The 18,795-nt window shown below is 40.3% G+C and overlaps 1 protein-coding gene and 1 pseudogene across 3 annotated transcripts in view, besides 2 other annotated features; one reads left to right on the forward strand and one right to left on the reverse strand.

The window, feature by feature from the left end:
• LRMDA (leucine rich melanocyte differentiation associated) overlaps window positions 1-18,795 on the forward strand; it is a 1,128,545-nt gene that overhangs the window by 798,813 nt on the left and 310,937 nt on the right. The gene's annotated exons all lie outside the window — the stretch shown is intronic.
• Window positions 223-942: an enhancer, noted in NCBI's record as "OCT4-NANOG hESC enhancer chr10:77990417-77991136 (GRCh37/hg19 assembly coordinates)". NCBI's record gives its function as "activates a minimal SCP1, AML or CMV promoter by ChIP-STARR-seq in naive and primed H9 embryonic stem cells {active_cell/tissue: H9 hESC(naive and primed)}" and the evidence as "EXISTENCE:reporter gene assay evidence [ECO:0000049][PMID:30033119]".
• Window positions 943-1,660: an enhancer, noted in NCBI's record as "OCT4-NANOG hESC enhancer chr10:77991137-77991854 (GRCh37/hg19 assembly coordinates)". NCBI's record gives its function as "activates a minimal SCP1, AML or CMV promoter by ChIP-STARR-seq in naive and primed H9 embryonic stem cells {active_cell/tissue: H9 hESC(naive and primed)}" and the evidence as "EXISTENCE:reporter gene assay evidence [ECO:0000049][PMID:30033119]".
• Window positions 11,586-11,861, reverse strand: RN7SL518P (RNA, 7SL, cytoplasmic 518, pseudogene; annotated as a pseudogene).

The following is an 18,795-nucleotide window of genomic DNA, read 5'->3' on the forward strand; positions in this document are numbered from 1 at the left end:
CACTATTAATTAGATGAGATATTTATCCTTGGCTTAAATTAGAAAACTTACTAAGAGAAACTATGAAAATATCAATTAAAACAACTAGCATGATTTTATTTTTCACTGTTAAGAGGGCAAAAAAAAAAAAAACCCCAAAAATCCCATGCATGAATAAAATAAATATATATTTGGGGATGACACCATCTTGGCATTTCCAGGCATTCTTTTCTAAACATATTCTTTATCTGAGCTGTCTTGCAATACTTTTAATATAATTAAAAGCACATAATGAGTGCCAGACTTGTCAATTTCAACAACAAAGTGCTGAAATTTGCAGTGAAACTGAGAGATCCATCTCCCATACATTGTAATGAATAGGTTCATAAAAGGAAAATAGTTTAATTACATTTTAGTTCATGGATTGTTAATAGGCTGGAGTATCTAAATTGAATAATGTGATTCTGGTAATAATTATGTGTAAATGAACTTGTTTAAATGATATTTTACAGCTTCTTTATAAAATTACAGCTAGAGGCAATCCAGTGATAGACAGACAAAGGCCATGCAAAAATTATCATAAACTATTAGCTTGTTTGCAAAGGGTTTTATGTTAATCTTTTAGTACTTAAAGCAATCTGCAATTAACATATCATGGGGAGCTGCCTCCGAGCAAAGGCATGCAAATTGAAGTGCTTAGATAAAAAGCCATTCATGTTGTGGGGGAAAGAGAAAGAAAGAAAAAAGAAAAAGAAAAAAAAATCAAAGAAAGGGTGGCAAAGTACTCAGAGGGTGCTGGTTTTTATATTTGAGATTAAGGAGGTGTAATGATTGTGTTATCTAACTATGGCTGTAATTAAAGCTTTTCTCCAGCAGACATGACAATAGATACTGCATTGATTTCGGTGTTTTAATTGTGAAAGTCATTTTATTTCAGGGCAGAAGATATGAATAGCCTGAATCAAAGGGCTAGAAGATTGCTTTGTTGATAGTACTTGTTCAACAGCTGCCTGGCTGCTTAATACACAAGTGTGGAGAATGCAGAGAGACCCAAGGAGGTGCTGGGTATTGTGATTCTCCTGCTGGTTTCCTTTCCTTTTATGAAAAAGGCAAGGATCTTGGTGCTGACTGTAAACAAACAGCCTTTTCATACCTCATCGATGTTTTTCCTCCCCAACTTTGCAGAACAAAAGAAGTCATAAAGGGCCTTGAACTAACTTTACTACTGCTCCTTTTAAGCTACAGAAGTTTATGCAAAGTAATAAAAACCATCTTTGCTAGTGGAGATATCACCCCTCTAATGATGAAAAAAAGTCTCTGAGTGACTGTGGTAGTTATTATCACAAATAGCCTTGTGACAGAAACAGTTTGTAGGAGAGAGGTTGGATTATTTACATTAAGGGCATATCCACAAAATCTCACACACAGTTAGTTTGAGATTAGTGCTTTCTTATCAGTTTCTATATACAAACCACAGGAGGGAAATTAAGTGAGGGGAAAACATATACAATCCCAGAGCAAAGAGAATTCTAAAGAGAATTTTAGGGAGATCAGGGTAGACTTAAAATAAAAATCACATTCTTGGCTATTTCTTCTATAACACTTCAGTGTAAATGGAGGTGAAACCCAGTGATTTCCAGTAATTCCTATTCTATTGATTTATCTCTTCTTTGTTCCTAGAAATATCAAATAGCATGTTTAAAGGAGTCTGAATAATAATAAACTTGGTTTTAGGGAACACTGTTTCTTTAAGTGATATGATTTAAAATAACCAGACACCAAGATATTACAAACATAACAATAATAACATAATCATTTACTGAGTGTTGTGCTATTTTTATTTATATTTCTGATGATATAAGGGAGTGAAAATTTTCCCTCTGCCCTCTGAGAGTTTGATAATTGAATCTATGGAATAAATGGACATTAGACCAATTAATAGGAGAAAGGACACATAAATTTATTACATGCATAGGAGCATCATATAAAACAAAGGTGAACACCCAGTGAGATCTAGAAGTTTTTATACCCTCTTCATAGGGGAGAAGAGAGGGGGAATGCAGACAACTTAGGGAAGGTACAAGCATACCTTGGAGATATTGAAATCTCAATTCTAGACTGATGCAGGATTTTCTTCTTGGTCACCGTGCAAGCTGGAGACCTCTGGCCAGCGATGCCCTACCCTGGCCTTGCTCGACCACACTAGCTGCTGCAGGAGATGGCCTCTACCTGCTGTAGGAGACGGCCTAAGTCTGGCTTACACACTGGTTCCCGAGTTCTTGTCTTGCACCCAAGAAAAATAAGGATGTACTGACAATGGAAGAGTGAGCCAGATGGGGAGTTTTATTGGTGATGAAACAGCTTTCAGTGGAGAGGGGACACAGGGGTGGTCCCCCTACCCAAAGGTGGGAAAGTCCCCTGTGTGTCTGGGCCTGGGGCCTTTTATGGACTCAGAATGGGGAGTGTGTGCTGATTGGTTTGGGGGTATGCAAAAAAGTTTAAACCAAAGACACCACTCAAAGGTGGGCATGACAGTGAAGAAAACCAATTACGAAAGGGTAGGTATATGTAAAATAGGTGAAAGGTGGGGACAGTCAGAGAAAAGTGCGCCAAATGGGAAGACAAGTTCTCAGTCTGGTCCAAGAATTTAACTTGTAGCTTGGCTTTCAGGCTTCAAACTGTAATCAGCTTGGAGGTGGGATTTCACCGGGGACCCCCACTGTCTGCCTAGGCATTTGGCTGCCTCCTTTCACTATCAAGACTGCCCCAATAAAACAAAAATTGCAATAAAGCAAGTAACATGAATGTTTGGTTTTCCCAGTGTGTATAAAAGCTATACAATACTGTAGTCTGTGAGGTGTATGATAACATTATGTCTAAATAAACAATATACATACCTTAATTTTAAAATACTTTATTGTTAAAAATGCTAATAACTATCTGCATTTTCAGTTAGTTACCATCTTTTTGCTGGTGAAGGGTATTGTTTCAGAGTTGCTGGCTGCTGACTGATCAGGGAGGTTGTTGCTGAAGGTTGGGATGGCTGTGACAATTTCTTAAAAGAAGACAACAATGAGGTTTGCCACATTGATTGACTCACGAAAGATTTCTCTGTAGCATGTGATGCTGTGTGATAGCATTTTACTCACATTAGAACTTCTTTTAAAATTAGAGTAAATCCTCTCAAACCCTGCCTATGCTTTATCATCTAAGTTTAGTAATATTCTAAATCCTTTGTGGTCATTTCAAGAATGTTCACAGCATCTTCACCAGGAGTAGATTCCATCTCAAAACAAACAAACAAACAAACAAAAAACACTTTCTTTGCTCATCTATAAGGAGCAACTCCTCATCTTTAAAAGCTTTATCATGAAGTTGCAGCAATTCAGTCCTATCTTCAGGCTTCTCTTCTAATTCTGGTTCTCTTGCTATTTCTACCACATCTGCTGTTATTTCCTCTACTGAAGTCTTGAGCCCCTCAAAATCATCCGTGAGGGTTGGAATTCACTTCTTTCAAACTCCTGTTAATGTTGATACTTTGACCTCCTCCCATGAATCACAAATGTTCTTAGTAACATCTAGAATGGTGAATCCTTTCCAGAAGATTTTCAATTTCTATTGCCCAGATCCATCAGAGGAATCACTATCTATGGCAGCGATAGCCTTACTAAATATATTTCTTAAATAAGAGGACTTGAAACTTGAAATTACTCCTTGATACATGGGCTACAGAATGGCTGTTGTGTGAGGAGGCATTAAAACAGCATTGATCTCCTTGTATATCTTCATCAGAGCTCTTGGGTGACCAGGTATATTGTCAATGAGCAGTAATATTTTGAAAGAAATCTTTTTTTTCTGAGCAGTAGGTCTCAATAGTGGGCTTAAATTAATATTTAAGTAAATCATGCTGTGAACGGATGTGCTGTCATCCAGGCTTTGTTGTTTCATTGATAGCACACAGGCAGAGTAGATTTAGCGTAATTCTTAAGGGCCCTAGAATTTTTGGAATGATAAATGAACATTGGCTTCAACTTAAAGTCGCCAGATACATTAGCTCTTATCAAGAGAGTCAGCCTGTCCTTTGAAGCTTTGAAGCCAGGCATTGACTTCTCTCTAGCTATAAAAGCCCCAAATGGCATCTTCTTCCCATGTAAGGCTGTTTTGTCTACATTGGAAATCTGTTGTTTAGTGTAGTCACCTTCATCAAATCTTAGCTGGATCTCCTGGATAATTTGCTGCAATTTTTCCATCAGCACTTGTTGCTTCACCTTGCCCTTTTATGAAGACAGCGTCTTTCCTTAAACCTTATGAACCAACCTCTCTTAGCTTCAAACTTTTCTTCTGTAGCTTCTTTACCTCTCAGCCTTTACATAAATGAGGAGAGTTAAGGCCTTGCTCTGGATTAGGCTTTGGCTTAAGGAAATGTCATGGTTGGTTTGATCTTCTATCCATACCGCTAAAACTTTCTCCATATCAGCAATAAGGCTGTTTCACTTTCTTATCATTCATGTGCTCACTGGAGTAGCACTTTTAATCTCCTTCAAGAACTTTTCCTTTGCATTCACTGTTTGGCTAATCGTTTGGTATAAGAGGCCTAGCTTTCAGCCTATCTTGGCTTTTGAAATGCCTTCCTCACTAAGCTTAATCATTTCTAGCTTTTGATTTAAGTGTGCCTCTTTCTTTCACCTGAACACTTAGAAGCCATTGTAGAGTTATAAATTGGCCTAATTTCAATATCGTTGTGTCTCAGGGAATAGGGAAGCCTGGGGAGAGAGAGAGAGATGGGGAAACAGTCAGTTGGTGGAGCAGTCAGAACACACACAACACTTATTAAGCTTGCCATCTTCTATGAGCATGATTCATGGTACCCCAAAACAATTAGGATAATGAAATCAAAGATCACTGATCACAGATCACCATAACAGATATAATAATAATGAAAAAGTTTGAAATGTTACCCAAATTACCAAAATGTAACCCAGAGACGTAAGATAAGCACATGCTGTGGGAAAAATGGTGTTGGTAGACTTACTAGATGCAGGGTTGCCACAAATCCTTCAGTTTGTAGAAAAAATAGTATCTGTGAAGTGCAGTGGAATGAGGTATACCTGCAGAGGATTTCTGGGAAAGATGAATGGGCCCTCAGAATAGGTGACAGCCTGCGACAGGGTCTTTCTGGGTGTGGTGTCACCTCTATTCTCCTCTCTTGTGATATAGATAATTGTCCCTGGCTGATAAGATTCTACGGGAGGGAATTCATGACTATTGAGTTACAGGAGTAGAAGCTTGGAATTTCTGGGGGCTGGCAGGGACATGAGTTTTGGGAAGATGGGGTTAGAAACTGTATGACGAATAAGGGTTGTCTTCTTATACAGATTAAAAGACTCTCAGGTCATAACAGTTTTCTGCAGCTAGCAGACTTTTTCTGATCCAGATAGTTTACTAATGTAGATTTCCTTTACAGATGTAAGTTTCTTTTACAAAAGGACAAGTTTTCAGAGCTACTTCCGTGTGTGCAGTTCCTCAGAGTAACCAGCTCGAAATATGCCAAAGAAATATAGTTTGGGGTGGTACATTCTGTTTGGCGAGCCCAAAAAATGACCTCCAATAACCATCCCAAAGAAGTCGATGGGATGATCCATTTTCTAAAACGAGTGAACTTAGCCTCAGGCCAAATATATTGTTCAAGGTCACATAGCAAGGGAGGGGCAGAGGCAGGTTAGAACCCAGACAGTCTAGCTAGATCTCTAGGAAAGCCTGATGCCATCCTCACAGGGTTAACAAGAATTCTGGACAGAAATGTAGTTATAATTAAGCATTAATTAAGCAGGCTGCACTTTGACCCAGTTCCTTGTAACTGAAAGTCAGGTAACACCAGATCCTGACTATTTGCATCCCCATTGTTCCTATAGACAGGATTTCTGGAGTTACATCAGGCTTTTAAGATAGATAGGATCTCTGACACTACAATCATAAGGTTTATGTTTGAGAATTGCAGATGCAGATTCTGAATTCCAGTGGAACAGCTAATGCTAACCATTTTGAAGACCCCAACAGAGGAACTGAATCAGCATGAGAATGGTTTCTTCATCTCCCTGTCCCATGACTTACTCTGCACTCTTTAACCAATCAATGGTCTCCACACTTTGGCCCGCTCCCAGACCTTTAAAAACCCTAGCCCCAAACTCCTTGGGGAGATGGATTTGAGGTTTCCTTCTGTCTCCTCGTTTAGTGGCCTATGACCAAACTTCTTTTTCTGCTGCAACCCAGCATCTTGGTGTATTGACTTGCCATGAACATCAGGCAGCAAACCTATTATGGTCACAAGCCCTTAGACTTCTTCTCTGATTAATGTTTTCTAAGTGCACAAAATAAAGTACAAAGGGTTACAAAGCAAATGTAGTATATTGAAATACTGTTATCAAAATATTTAAAAATAAAATTTATGACTTAGTAATTTATGTGCTTACAGCCAGCAGCAACTATAATTTCAAAGCTATGCTAACATCTACTATAATTTCAAAGTGTTGATAAGCATAAACAGTGTTTTGGATTTCTGCAATAATGTGACATGAAAATACCTGATTTTTTATCAATGATAAAGTCACAGATACTCCTTAAACTCCAGTCATTTTGTTGCCTACATTTATAATAAAAGAAAATGGGGCTGAGGCCAGAGGATTGCTTGAGTCTTGGAGTTGGAGATTGCAGTGAGCTATGACTGCACTACTGCATTCGAGCCTGGGCAACAGAGGGAGACCCTGTCTCTTAAAAAATAGCAAAAACAGAAAGAAAGAAAATGTTAAGTTCCCCATAAACATTACTGAAAATAAAACTATATTTTTATATATGTCAGATATTATACAAAAATACATGTGTAGATAATTATACATAAAAATAATTTTTCCCACCAAAATTCACAGACCTCTAAATTCTATAGGTGTACAAGGCTTAGGTTAAGAACATTTTTGGTTTTACAGATGAGGAACTGAGGCCCAGAGAAGGGAATTTAGTGACCCAAGGTTATCAGTAATCAGTGATAAGATGTAGATTAGAGCTGATTACACTAAGAGAACATAAGGAAAACTTAAAATACTGTATGTTGATCTTTTCCCTTTCTCCTGTGACTTTGGTGGCTTTTGCTGACATGCTCTTGGAATGTTGAACCTTTCTTTGTCTTTGCAATGTTGTCTTTTTCAAAGTGGGAGCAGCAAGCAATTTCCCCAGCCCTGAGATCAGTTGTTGGCAATTCCTGCTTTCAGTGGCAGGGCTGGGAGGATCCCAGAAAGCGCAGCCATAGGGACTCCAGGGAAGCTTCCTGTGATTGCAACCTAAATTTGAAAACTTTCTATTTAAAGGGACAAGAGTGCTTTTTTTTTTTTTTTTTTTTTTTTAAGATGGAGTCTTGCTCTGTTGCCCAGGCTGGAGTGCAATGATGTGATCTTGGCTCACTGCAACCTCTGCCCCTGGGTTCAAGCAATTCTGCTGCCTCAGCCTCCTAAGTAGCTGGGATTACAAGCACGTGCCACCACGCCTGGCTAATTTTTGTGTTTTTAGTAGAGATGGGGTTTTGCCATATTGGCCAGGCTGGTCTTGAACTCCTGACCTCAGGTGATCCACCCTCCTTGGCCTCCCAAACTGCTGGGATTATAGGCATGAGCCACGGCACCTGGCTAAGAGTGCATATTCATTATGTGTCTCCTCTACGCGAGGTCTTTGTATATCCTCTTCCAGTTAATATTCAGAGAGGCCTAATAAATAGTCCCCATCCTTGTTCTAGAGGGGAAGAGAGAAACTCAGAGATTGCCATGGCACATGGTGCTTGTGGTGAGCCGGGGTTGAGTTAGACTTTAGCTATGTCCTCACAGCCTAATGACGCAGGCAATTTGGTCCTCTATTTACTTATTAGGAAACTGAGGATAAAAGACTTTTAGCAAGATGGCCAAGTTCATGACTTATTAAGTGACAGAGCCACGAATTTAACTGAAGTCTGTTGCCTGTAATACTCATCTTTGTTCCCCAGACTCTGTTGCCCTTACATTGAAGGAATAAGGACCCCCCCGCCCTCCCATCTTCTCTACCCAGGGGTCTTCTCCTCAGGTGTCTATTGCATATCTGTTATTTACAGGGCATGTCCCATGTGGGCATGCAGGAGGGGAAGGGCAGCAGGTAGAAACACATAAGGATATACTTGATTTTGAGCTGACTTTCCTAACGTCCCTAATTGGATAAATAAAGCTAACACAAAGGGAACACACAGATAATGTTCGATGACAAACACGGACAACATCAACAATGTAATAATAATAATTGTGATGATGATGATAATAGCTAACATTTATTGAATGCATACTATTTTAAGGATTTTCCAAAAGTTGTTTCTTTTTTTTTTTAATTTGATCACATATCCCATAAAGAAGAGTGTGTGATGGCGACGGCACCCTTACACACTTGGCAGGAAGGACATGGCTGAGGGTGCCACAGTCATAAACACAGAAACACAGAGATATATGTTCTCCTTATTGATTTTGTAATAATATTGGTGGCAATCTTAGCTATGAATTGAGTGAACAGGTATTATGGGAAAGGAAGGGGGTGAGATGGATCAACCAGGCCAACTCCCAGGGGGCCATGTTGGCAAATTTTCCTGCCTCATGCCTTGCCTTGGTGACGTACAAATTTTAGGCATTTTAAAGAAATACCCCAAACTGTCAGCCCTGTGCAGAGGGAGCATGGTTCACTCCCTAGATAGTCAATTTGGGTGATAGGGGGTGGCCAGCTGCTTGCTTGGGTCTCAGGGGAGAGGCCCTGATCTTTCTGGTCCTTCTCCCCCAATCCTAACCTCAGCCCAGACATCAGGTCATTTCTACACACTGCATTAGGCTTCTCTAACCAATAAGGAACATTTACCCTTAAACATGGTCACCATGTCATTATCACAACTAAAAAAAGAATAATAATTCCATAGGGCTTTTCAATACCCAGTCCATATTCTAATTTTCCCAGTTGTCTCAAAAATATCTTTTTGTATCCAGTTCGTTTGATTCAGTGTCCAAACACAGCCCATACCTTTTATTGCGTTGCTGTATCCCTTTGATCTTTTTTAGTCTTTAATCATCTCCCTCCCCTTCTCCTTTTTCATCTTCTCTTTGTCTCTTATGCTCTCTGTTTCTCTCTCTGTCTCTCTCTCTCTATTATGCATTGATATTTTTGAGGAATTGAATGAGTTATCCTGGGCAATGACCCACATTCTGCTTTGGCTGGTTGCCTCCTTGCCATGCCATCTAACTTGTTCCTCTATCCTCTGTACTTTCTATAATCTGGTGTCAGATCAATAACTTGTTTGAATTCAAATTCATTTTTTTTTGTATATGGTGCTGTATACTTCCTATTGCATTACCTCCTGAGATGCATAATTAATATCTGATCATGGTAACTCTGTGAGGTGATGGGTGTGTTAATTAATTTGATTGTGCTAATCATTACATTTTATGTATATATACTTATATATAATGTATATATACATACACAAGCATATGTCGAATTATTACATTGTACACCTTAAACACTATATACAGTTTTATTGGTTAATTATATCTCAATATAGCCGGGAAATTTTTAAAAATAAAAACAAAAACAATCCCATCAAAAAGTGGACTAAGGACATGTATAGACAATTCTCAAAAAAGATATACAAATGGCCAACATATGAAAAAAATGCTCAACATCACTAATTATCAAGGAAATGCAAATCAAAATCGCATACACACACACACACCACACACACACACACACCACACACACACATACGCACACCATAGAATACTACTTAACTATAAAAAGGAATGAAATAATGGCATTTGCAGCAACCTGGATGGAATTGGAGACCATTATTCTAAGTGAAGTAACTCAGGAATGGAAAACCAAACATCATATGTTCTCATTCACCACCTTACTCCCGCAAGAAGGGCCATAATAATAAATATATGTAATATATATATTTGTGTATATATATGTTATATATAATATATACATGTTATATATTATATATATGTTATATTTATATATGTTGGCATGGATGTGGTGAAAAGGGAACACTTTTACATTGTTGGTGATAATGTAAACTAGTACAACCACTATGGAAAACTGTGGAGATTCCTTAAAGAACTAAAAGTAGATCTACCATTTGATCCAGCAATCCCACTCCTGGGTATCTACCCAGAGGAAAATAACTCATTATATGAAAATGATACTTGAACATGCATGTTTATGGCAGCATAACTTGCAATTGCATAATATGGAACCAGCCCAAATGCCCATTAATCAATGAGTGGATAAAGAAAATGTGAGATAGATAGATAGATAGATAGATAGATAGATAGATAGATACACATATATATGTATATATATACACATACATATATATGTGTGTATATATATATATACATATATATATACGCACACACACACATACACACATACATACACACACACCCCATGGAATACTACTTAGCCATAAAAAGGAATGAAATAATGGCATTTGCAGCAACCTGGATGGAACTGGAGACCATTATTCTAAATGAAGTAACTCAGGAATGGAAAACCAAACATCATATGTTATCACTCATAAATGGGAGCTAAGTTATGAGAATGCAAAGGTATAAGAATGATATAATGGACTTTGGGGTCTTGGGGGAAAGGTGGGTGGGTGGTGAGGGATAAAAGACTACAAATTAGGTACAGTGTACACTTTGCAGGTGATGGGTGCACCAAAATCTCAGAAATCACTACTAAAGACCTTATTCATGTAACCAAACACCACCTGTTCCCCCAAATCCTATTGAAATAAAAAATTAAAAATAAAACTGTATCTTATCAGTAGGTTCAGATGGTTCTTCCACTGAAAGAATCAGCTGGAGTCTTCCATTGTAAGGTTCCCAACCAACCTTTTACCTAATGTTTGAGCATCTTTTGATGATGGTGACCTAAGTCCATTATTTCATTACAGGTGGGAGAATAATTTTCTAATTTTATCATCCCTTTGTATTTATTACCTGGAATTCTGCCATGAAGGATTTTCTTCCATATAGTAATTGCTTGAAATCTTTTTTTTCTCACAGCAGATAACTTGGTTTGAAACATAGTTTCTGTGGGCATTGACTGTATGAAATGGGAATATGAAGTGTTTCCAGATGCAGCGGAAGTGGGAGGCTGAGGGTCCCCTGCAGGCACAGGATTCCCTTCATCCTCTGTACCTGTAGCAGAGGAGCCCTTGGGCTCCAGCAGTACAATTGGGGAATGCCCTGGTGAATAACACTGCCTGACCCCCATCCTCACCAGGCTTACAATGTGGGGTCCTGGAGACTGAAGGGTATGCCTGTAGTACAGAGAGGGTAGCCACTCACCAGCTTCATGACTTTGGGGCTGTTGGCCACAGTCAACATTGCTTCCTTATCTGTAAAGTGAGAATAAGAGTACTAACCTCACAGGATGGTTGTGAAGATTCATTATGCTAATGCCTATAAAATACTTGGCATAGTTTTGGCTGTATAACAGTGCTTAATAAATGCTGGCTTGATTATTCTTATTGTAATAATTTTTTTTTAAGAGACAGAGTATTGTTATGTTGCCCAGGCTGTAGTGCAGTGGCTATTCACAGGTGAGATCCCACTGCTGATCAGCACAGGAGTTTTGACCTGCTCCATTTCTGACCTGGGCTGGATCACTCCTCCTTAGTCAACCTGGTGGTTCCCTGCTCCTGGGAGGTCACCATATTGATGCTGAACTTAGTGTGGACACCCAATCAGCATAGCTCACTACAGCCCAGAACTCCTGGACTCAAGTGATCTTCTCACCTCAGCCTCCTGAGTCACCAGGACTACTGACTATTGCATTGGTTTGTTAGGATTGCCATAACAAAGTATCACAACGTGGGTGGCTTAAGAACAACAGAAATTTATTCTCTCATAGTTCTGGAAGCCAGAAATGGGAAATAAAGGTGCCAGTGGGCCCAGGCTCCTCCAAAGACTCTGGGTAGAATCCTCTCTTGCCTCTTCCCCACTTCTGGTGGTAGCTGGCAATCCCTGGTGTGCTATCACTTATAGATGCATCGTGCCAATATCTGCTTTTGTCACCACATGCCCATCTTTTCCTTCTGTCTCTTCACATGGTGTTCTCCTCTCTACATGTTCACATTGTCCTCTTAGAAAGATACCAGCCATATTGAGTTAAGGGCCAACCCTACTCCAGCATGACCTCATCTTAACTCATTACATCTGCAATGTCTTTATTTCCAAATAAGCTGACATTCTGAGGTACTGGGGTTTAGGACTCAACATATCTTTCTGGGGGATACAACTCAACCCATAACAATTGTGTAACCATACAACACCGAGTTGTCCTACATCTTGACATATAGAAGGGTTCCTTGTACTTTATTGTTATGCCACATTTCTTGCATTTTACTGTTTTCCTACTGGTTTTCTCTCAGATATGAGATGCTATGTAGTGCAGAGTGAGGATAAGATGAGCAGCTCTTCCACGTTTAGACCCAGAGCAGACACTTGAATAAGTCGTTCTCCACCTCCAAAGACAGGATAGGAGCAGGAAACATCAGCCAGAACATCTCGTATAAACAGCAGAAGCAGTACAGCCTTAGAGAACCCATCCACACCTCAGAACTTCCCAGCCAAGCTCATGCTGGCAGGCACCCAGTGATTCTCCCGTCCGTATCACGACAAGCCTCGGAGTGAACTGTTTATTTATCAATTCTTAATTGAGTTGATGTTTACTCATGATTGCCAGTGGATGAGTAATTTACTACAGAGTTCGAGGAGTCAGATAGTGAAGAGATCATTATAAAGAGAAATTATAATAGAGTTCCCTGTACTCATGGGTCTGGTAATAAAAGATTGATATAATTAGATGGGGCTTGGTAACAAATACTATTACATTATGTCTGAATCTTATTTAAATATATTGGCCTTTTATCTTAAACTTATTAGTGGGTGGCTGTAGCTTACGTCGACACCAGCTAGCTATTTTACTCTTGCAAAAGGAGGGCTGAGCTATACAAAGGAGTCAATCATTTGATGTTTAGAAGCAATGGCACGGTATTTAAGGCAGTTCTCCCTGTTGATTTTTAGAGGAAGAGCAAGGTATAAGGGGAACTTAAGCTTCCACTTGGTCACAAACTTTCTGGATAACAAATTCAGGGGCTGTGTTTCTCTGTACTGTGGCTGTGGCTACCTTGGAACCTTTAACTTGGCCAAAGTCATCCTTGAGAAAGCAGATAAAGGAAAGGGCAGGAAATAATCTGACAACGTAGTGAGAAAATGAGCTGTGGAGTAAGACAGGCCTGAGATGAAAACTTTGCCATAGTGGGTTGAGTGGTAGCCCCCCCAAAATATATCGCTCCATCCTATCCCTGGGACCTGTGAATGTGACCTTCAGTGGAAAATGAGTTGTTGAAGATGTAGCTAAGGATCTCAAGAAAAGATCATCCTGGATAATCCAGGGGGGCTATAAATCGAATGACAAGTGTCCTTGGAATAGACACCCAGAGGAGAGATTAATGGAGAAGAGATATGAAGATGGAGGTAGAGGCTGGACTTATGTAGAGCTATTAGGGAATAGATTTCTGTTGTTTTAAGCCACCAAGTTTATGGTAGTTTGGTGCAAGATCCCTGGGAAACAAATATACCAGTTTTATAATAAATTGCTTATATGACTTTGGGCTAGACTCTTAATCTTTACAAACCTCAGTTTTCTCATCTGTAAAAGTTGGGTTATTACACTTGTCTCTCAGTATCGTGAGGACCGTGAAAGCTCACCCAACTCAGTGCCTGGTACATGACAGGCATTCAGTACACATCAGATTCCTTCTCCCATCACCTCCTACCCATTTTCCTACATGATGTTTCAACTTGAAATCTTTTTCATCTTCTACGCCTCCTAAAATGTCTGCAAAACTAACAGCCCTCCCCTGAAGAATGTTCCATTCTTCAGGAGCTGTTCTTAGGACTGTCAAATTAGAGGAGAAAGCATGGTACAGCTGGTGTTTTTGCGGCAGTTGGGTGAGAGCCATGTAGATATTAAAAGTTTTTCAAATGCAGTTCATTGAATGCAGCCCTATAGAGAAGCAGCTGAAGTCCACATTGTAGCTGCAGTGTGGCTGGCCAGCTGGGGTCTGTTTCCTTCACACAAGGAGGTCTCAGGGTACATTCCCAGCCATGGAGAAGAGACAACACATGGGAGGGGAGTGCGTATAATACTCTGGGCTGCAGAAAGAAGCCAATGTAAATGGCTTTTTGCTTGATGTCTTTAGTTCATTGATTTTAGGCCTAGAAAGTCGTGATTGATTACATCCCACCAAATGCAGGCTGGGGAAGTCAGTGTGGGAATTTAGAGCATGGCTGATTTAATAAATGTTTTCAGAACCATGTATTCTTCTGAGGCATGAGAACGATGAGAAAAAGAACACTGGTCAAGAGCTAGCAGAGCTAGGGTCTGGCTTCATTTCTGTCCTTGATTAGCTGTGTGACTTTGAGCCAGTCATTTAACTTCTCTGAGGCTTCAACTTCACAGTGAGGTTGTTGGAGCCGTACATCTCAGTACTAGCATTCAATGGTTCCATGAAAATTCACAGTGATCCCCATGAGGTCAGTGTCCACCCATGTAGCACATGTATTTTGTTTGGCATGCTTGCTGGGGAGAGGAGAATCACAGGAAGGCAACAAGGGAAGAAAATTTTAAAAAATATTGGATGTTCTCTTATATATATCATCCAGGGCTTCATCCGTCATCCAGGGGAGAACTAGAGATGTTTTAAAGACTTGAGACCTCCACTGCCTGGTCCTATTGAGGATCCTGTGTTAATGACAGTTTTGCCATCTCTAAATGGCATTGAAAATCCAGTGCCTGGGAATAAGTAGGCAGGGGAGTGCCTGGGGACATGGCCCTGTTATAAGGTAGTGGTGTTTGTTTTTGGGACATTAGCCCTCTTCCCATTGTCTGTTATGTTGAGGTCAGCTTCCATGTACATTTCCCTATGTCTCCGAGCACATTCTGATCAATTCATTGATGGTGAGAGGGAAGGAAAGGGAAGGAAATAGACATTTTTAAATGCCTATGATGAGCTCCCTACTGGGAAGGATCTGTATTCACAGCCATCTTATGGGGCAATCACTTTACCCACATTTTATACATTATAAACCTGAGGCTTGGAGGTGTTAGGTAAGTTGGATAAAGTCACTAAATTATTAAGAAGCAGAGCCAGGAATTGAACACATGTCTGTGTGAGGGCCTGTGTTTTATTTGCCTTGGCATCCTGCCCTTATACTATGACAGCTCTGGGCATGCATTGTATACAATACACCAGACTGATGGAAAGTAGCAGTGGAGGAGGGGAGGATGGGGATAAAGACAACTATGTATCATTCTTATTCTTGAACATATTATCTAATTAGACAAATAAAACTAACATAAAGGGAATACCTATGACAAGTTAACAATTTTATCAACAATATAAAAATTAGAGATACGATACTAGCAGCTAACATGTATTACACGGTATATGCCACATACTAAAGACTCTACAATTGTTTTCTCAATTGTCACCATGATCCCATGTCCATATTTCATTGACGAGGAAGCTGAGACATAAGAGAGTTGGAAACTCTACCAAAGTTCACAGCCTTTGGGCTTCCAGCAGTGAGCCAGGATTCCAATCCAGCCCAACTGGTTCCACGCGGTACTACTGCTGGTGTTATTTGTCATCAAATAAGGGAACCCAAGGCCCACTGTAGGCTCATTAGGAGGGGTGAGTTTGGTCTGAAATGGTCCTGGCGGACTGAAGGGAGGAAATGAAACTCAAAAAGCCTGTATGGAAATAGCCTTGTGGTCATATCAGAGATCAGGTTTCTAACGCAGGTTCTTACCACCTCATGGTAGGACCTTGCAGTAATTGCAGGGCTTTTCCCACACCTCCTCTCATGTCTCATGGCTAACAACCTGTTTTCTTCTGCATTCTAATCTCCTGAGAATTCTCTCTAAAATGGAGGGGTCATTAGAAGGCAGATATTTTTGGAGCATGTCTTCCCTGGGGCAAGCAAGTGCTTGGAACCAGGGGTGCAGGGAAAGCCGTACGAATCCACACCTGACTGTGGGACAGTAATAGGGTCTGAGAGTGTTAGGTCCTGCAACCTTTCTTGAAGCACAGATAGGAGTGAGTACAGCAGAATTACGGCCCTGGATTAGTCCAACTGGCATTGCTCATGTAAAAGCAAGAGCTTTGTCAACTGCAATCCCACTTTAAAGGGTGTGTGGGATTGAAACAAGATGGCTTGAAGGAAGAGACCAGTGCCTGTGCTCTGTCTTTGCATTGCACACAAGTGTCCCTTGTCCTGAAAGACCAGGTGGACTGGATAACTGCATAACAAAGATGGGTGCTGCTAAGGGATGAGGGGATACAAAAGGGGAGAGGCTACAAATGGCAGAGCCAGGTCAGGTCTTGGAGAGTAACTAGTCACAGATTGCAGTCAGATCCTGGGCTAACATATTTTAAGTGAAAACAATGGATTTAAATGCCATTAACAGAGCATGTATTCTCCAGGTTCTTTTATACCAGCCAGCTTCACTCATTCCAGTGACGATCTTGTCTTACCTCCTCTGTCCCTCACTCCTTCACTCTTGCCCCAGCTATCCCAGAATAGCTTAACTACCCAGAGTTGCATATCAAGAAATTGTGAGTTGAAGAGAATAAAGTGACTTAAATAGATGACTGTTTATGGGGTTAAAATACAAAACTACATTTTCTGATTTCTAGTTTGATATTTCTCCACAATGCTGTACTGAAAGCTGGATTTTTCTGTCTTTAAGGCATGGAGAAAAGTGAGGGAGTCTTGGGGTTTCTCAGAATTTGAGGCAACATCCTTAACATTGGGCGAGGTAGTCTGGCTATTAACCATGAAACCCTATGGAGTGAGCTTAGTTGAAGGGGACTGAGCAAGCCATTTCAGAGCCCAGGGCCTCTGTGACAACCAAACACATTTGCTATTTGGAAAATAATTATAGATCCTTTTGAGAGATTCAGCTGCGGATAAAACTGGAATACTCTGGCTAGAAAAGTACTTGCTATGAAATCCATTCACCTAGTGTGATAGATTGTTAAAAATGGCCACTTTTATTCTATCCCTGTATGCATGAATCCCCCCTGCCTCCCGCAACCCAACCCAGCAAGGTGTCTGTAATATTCCTCCTATCAAGAGTAGAGTTTCTCTACCCACCTCTTGAATGGGGGCTTGACCTTGTGACTTGTTCTGGTCAGTAGGGCGTTAGCAAACATGATGTATCAGAGGCTTAGAAAGCATTTGCATGTGGGGTCCTACCCTCTTCTTGACACCCTAAGACTGCCATGTAAAGAGATTGGAGTGCCTTCCGGAGGTTGAGAATATTTGGAGCAGACAAAAGTCATCCCAGCAGAGACTCCCTGGACCAACAGTGAAGGTACCTGCATTTTTGCTAAAAAGTCCAAGTGGAAGGGTATTGTTATATGCAGTCCTATCATGTTTTCTCAAATAATGGGGAAAGGACACAGGTGTCCATATATGCTCGTGAATCCAGCCGTCTTCATTGGAAAACGTGTGGCCTGCAGAGATTCAGTGGAATGATCTTACCCCAATAGTCCAGGACAGTGGCTCTCAATTGGGAGCTATTTTGACTCCCAAGAGTCATTTAATAATGTCTGGATACATTTTTAATTTTTGTACCCCCAGGGCAGGAGTATGCTACTGGCATGTAGTAGATATAGGCTAGGGATGCTGCCGAACATCCTACCATGCACAGGACAGTCCCCACAACCAAGAATGATCAAGTCTGAAATATTGATAGTGTTGAGGTTGAGATACCCTGATCTGGGCAATTGTTGACTTCATGTCAGGTTTTACAGAGTTCCTTAACATATCTAGGCAATACTTCACCAGACTCCAACCCTAGCCTCATCTTCTTCAAGAGCAAGTTCTCTCTTTGGGAGTCTCTGAAGAGTCCGTCAAAAACATTTCTTAACATCCTAAGACATGCCTCTTTAGGGTTGGATAAAGATGATTTTCTAATTTTAAAATGCCTTCCTAGCCCCAGATTTTGTGCTTATATTGCAGAGAAGTAGATTGAATACCGGAGGGAAGGACATGGATCAAGGTGGAAAGTCAGACGTAAGCAGAGCTACATTTGCAGAAAGTATGAGTTCAGTTTAGTTTTTGCTTATGGACCACAAAGATGGCCCTCACCTCTAAACCTTGAAGAATTCCAGAATTTTTCTGGGAGAGGAACATCTCTATCACATCTGCCACAGCGGAAGGCTTTGTGCAGGATAACATATCATTGGCTTGAGAACAGAGTGAGCATGTGTGGAAGGGCCTGTAATTATTAATATGACATTGGCCATAATTTATCATGTCATACCACCCACTTACAGCAGCCTCATCCTATGAAATGCTAAATGCCTTTCTTATCAACACTTGATGGGAAAATGCTGTTCTGGCATCTTCCTCTAAGGGAAACAGAAATCTAACCATGTTCCTTACAGCCTAGAACTCTGTACACAAAGATCAGACTTGTTTTTCTCCCTGAAAATTTATAGGTATTTACAAGGACTCATATCCTGTTTGCTATTTAGAGGGGCAATGGAGTGAGAAAGAATTATGTAGCAAGTTTCTTTTTCTTGAGATTTGCTCAAGCTGCTCTATGACTTAAAAAAACTCAGATATTACTCCCCATTTTTATGGGCAGCTTGCTGTTTTCTATTCTTGCTTTCCTCAC

The sequence above is a fragment of the Homo sapiens genome, chromosome 10, assembly GCF_000001405.40.
Source record: "Homo sapiens chromosome 10, GRCh38.p14 Primary Assembly".
NCBI classification, from domain to species: Eukaryota; Metazoa; Chordata; class Mammalia; order Primates; family Hominidae; genus Homo; species Homo sapiens.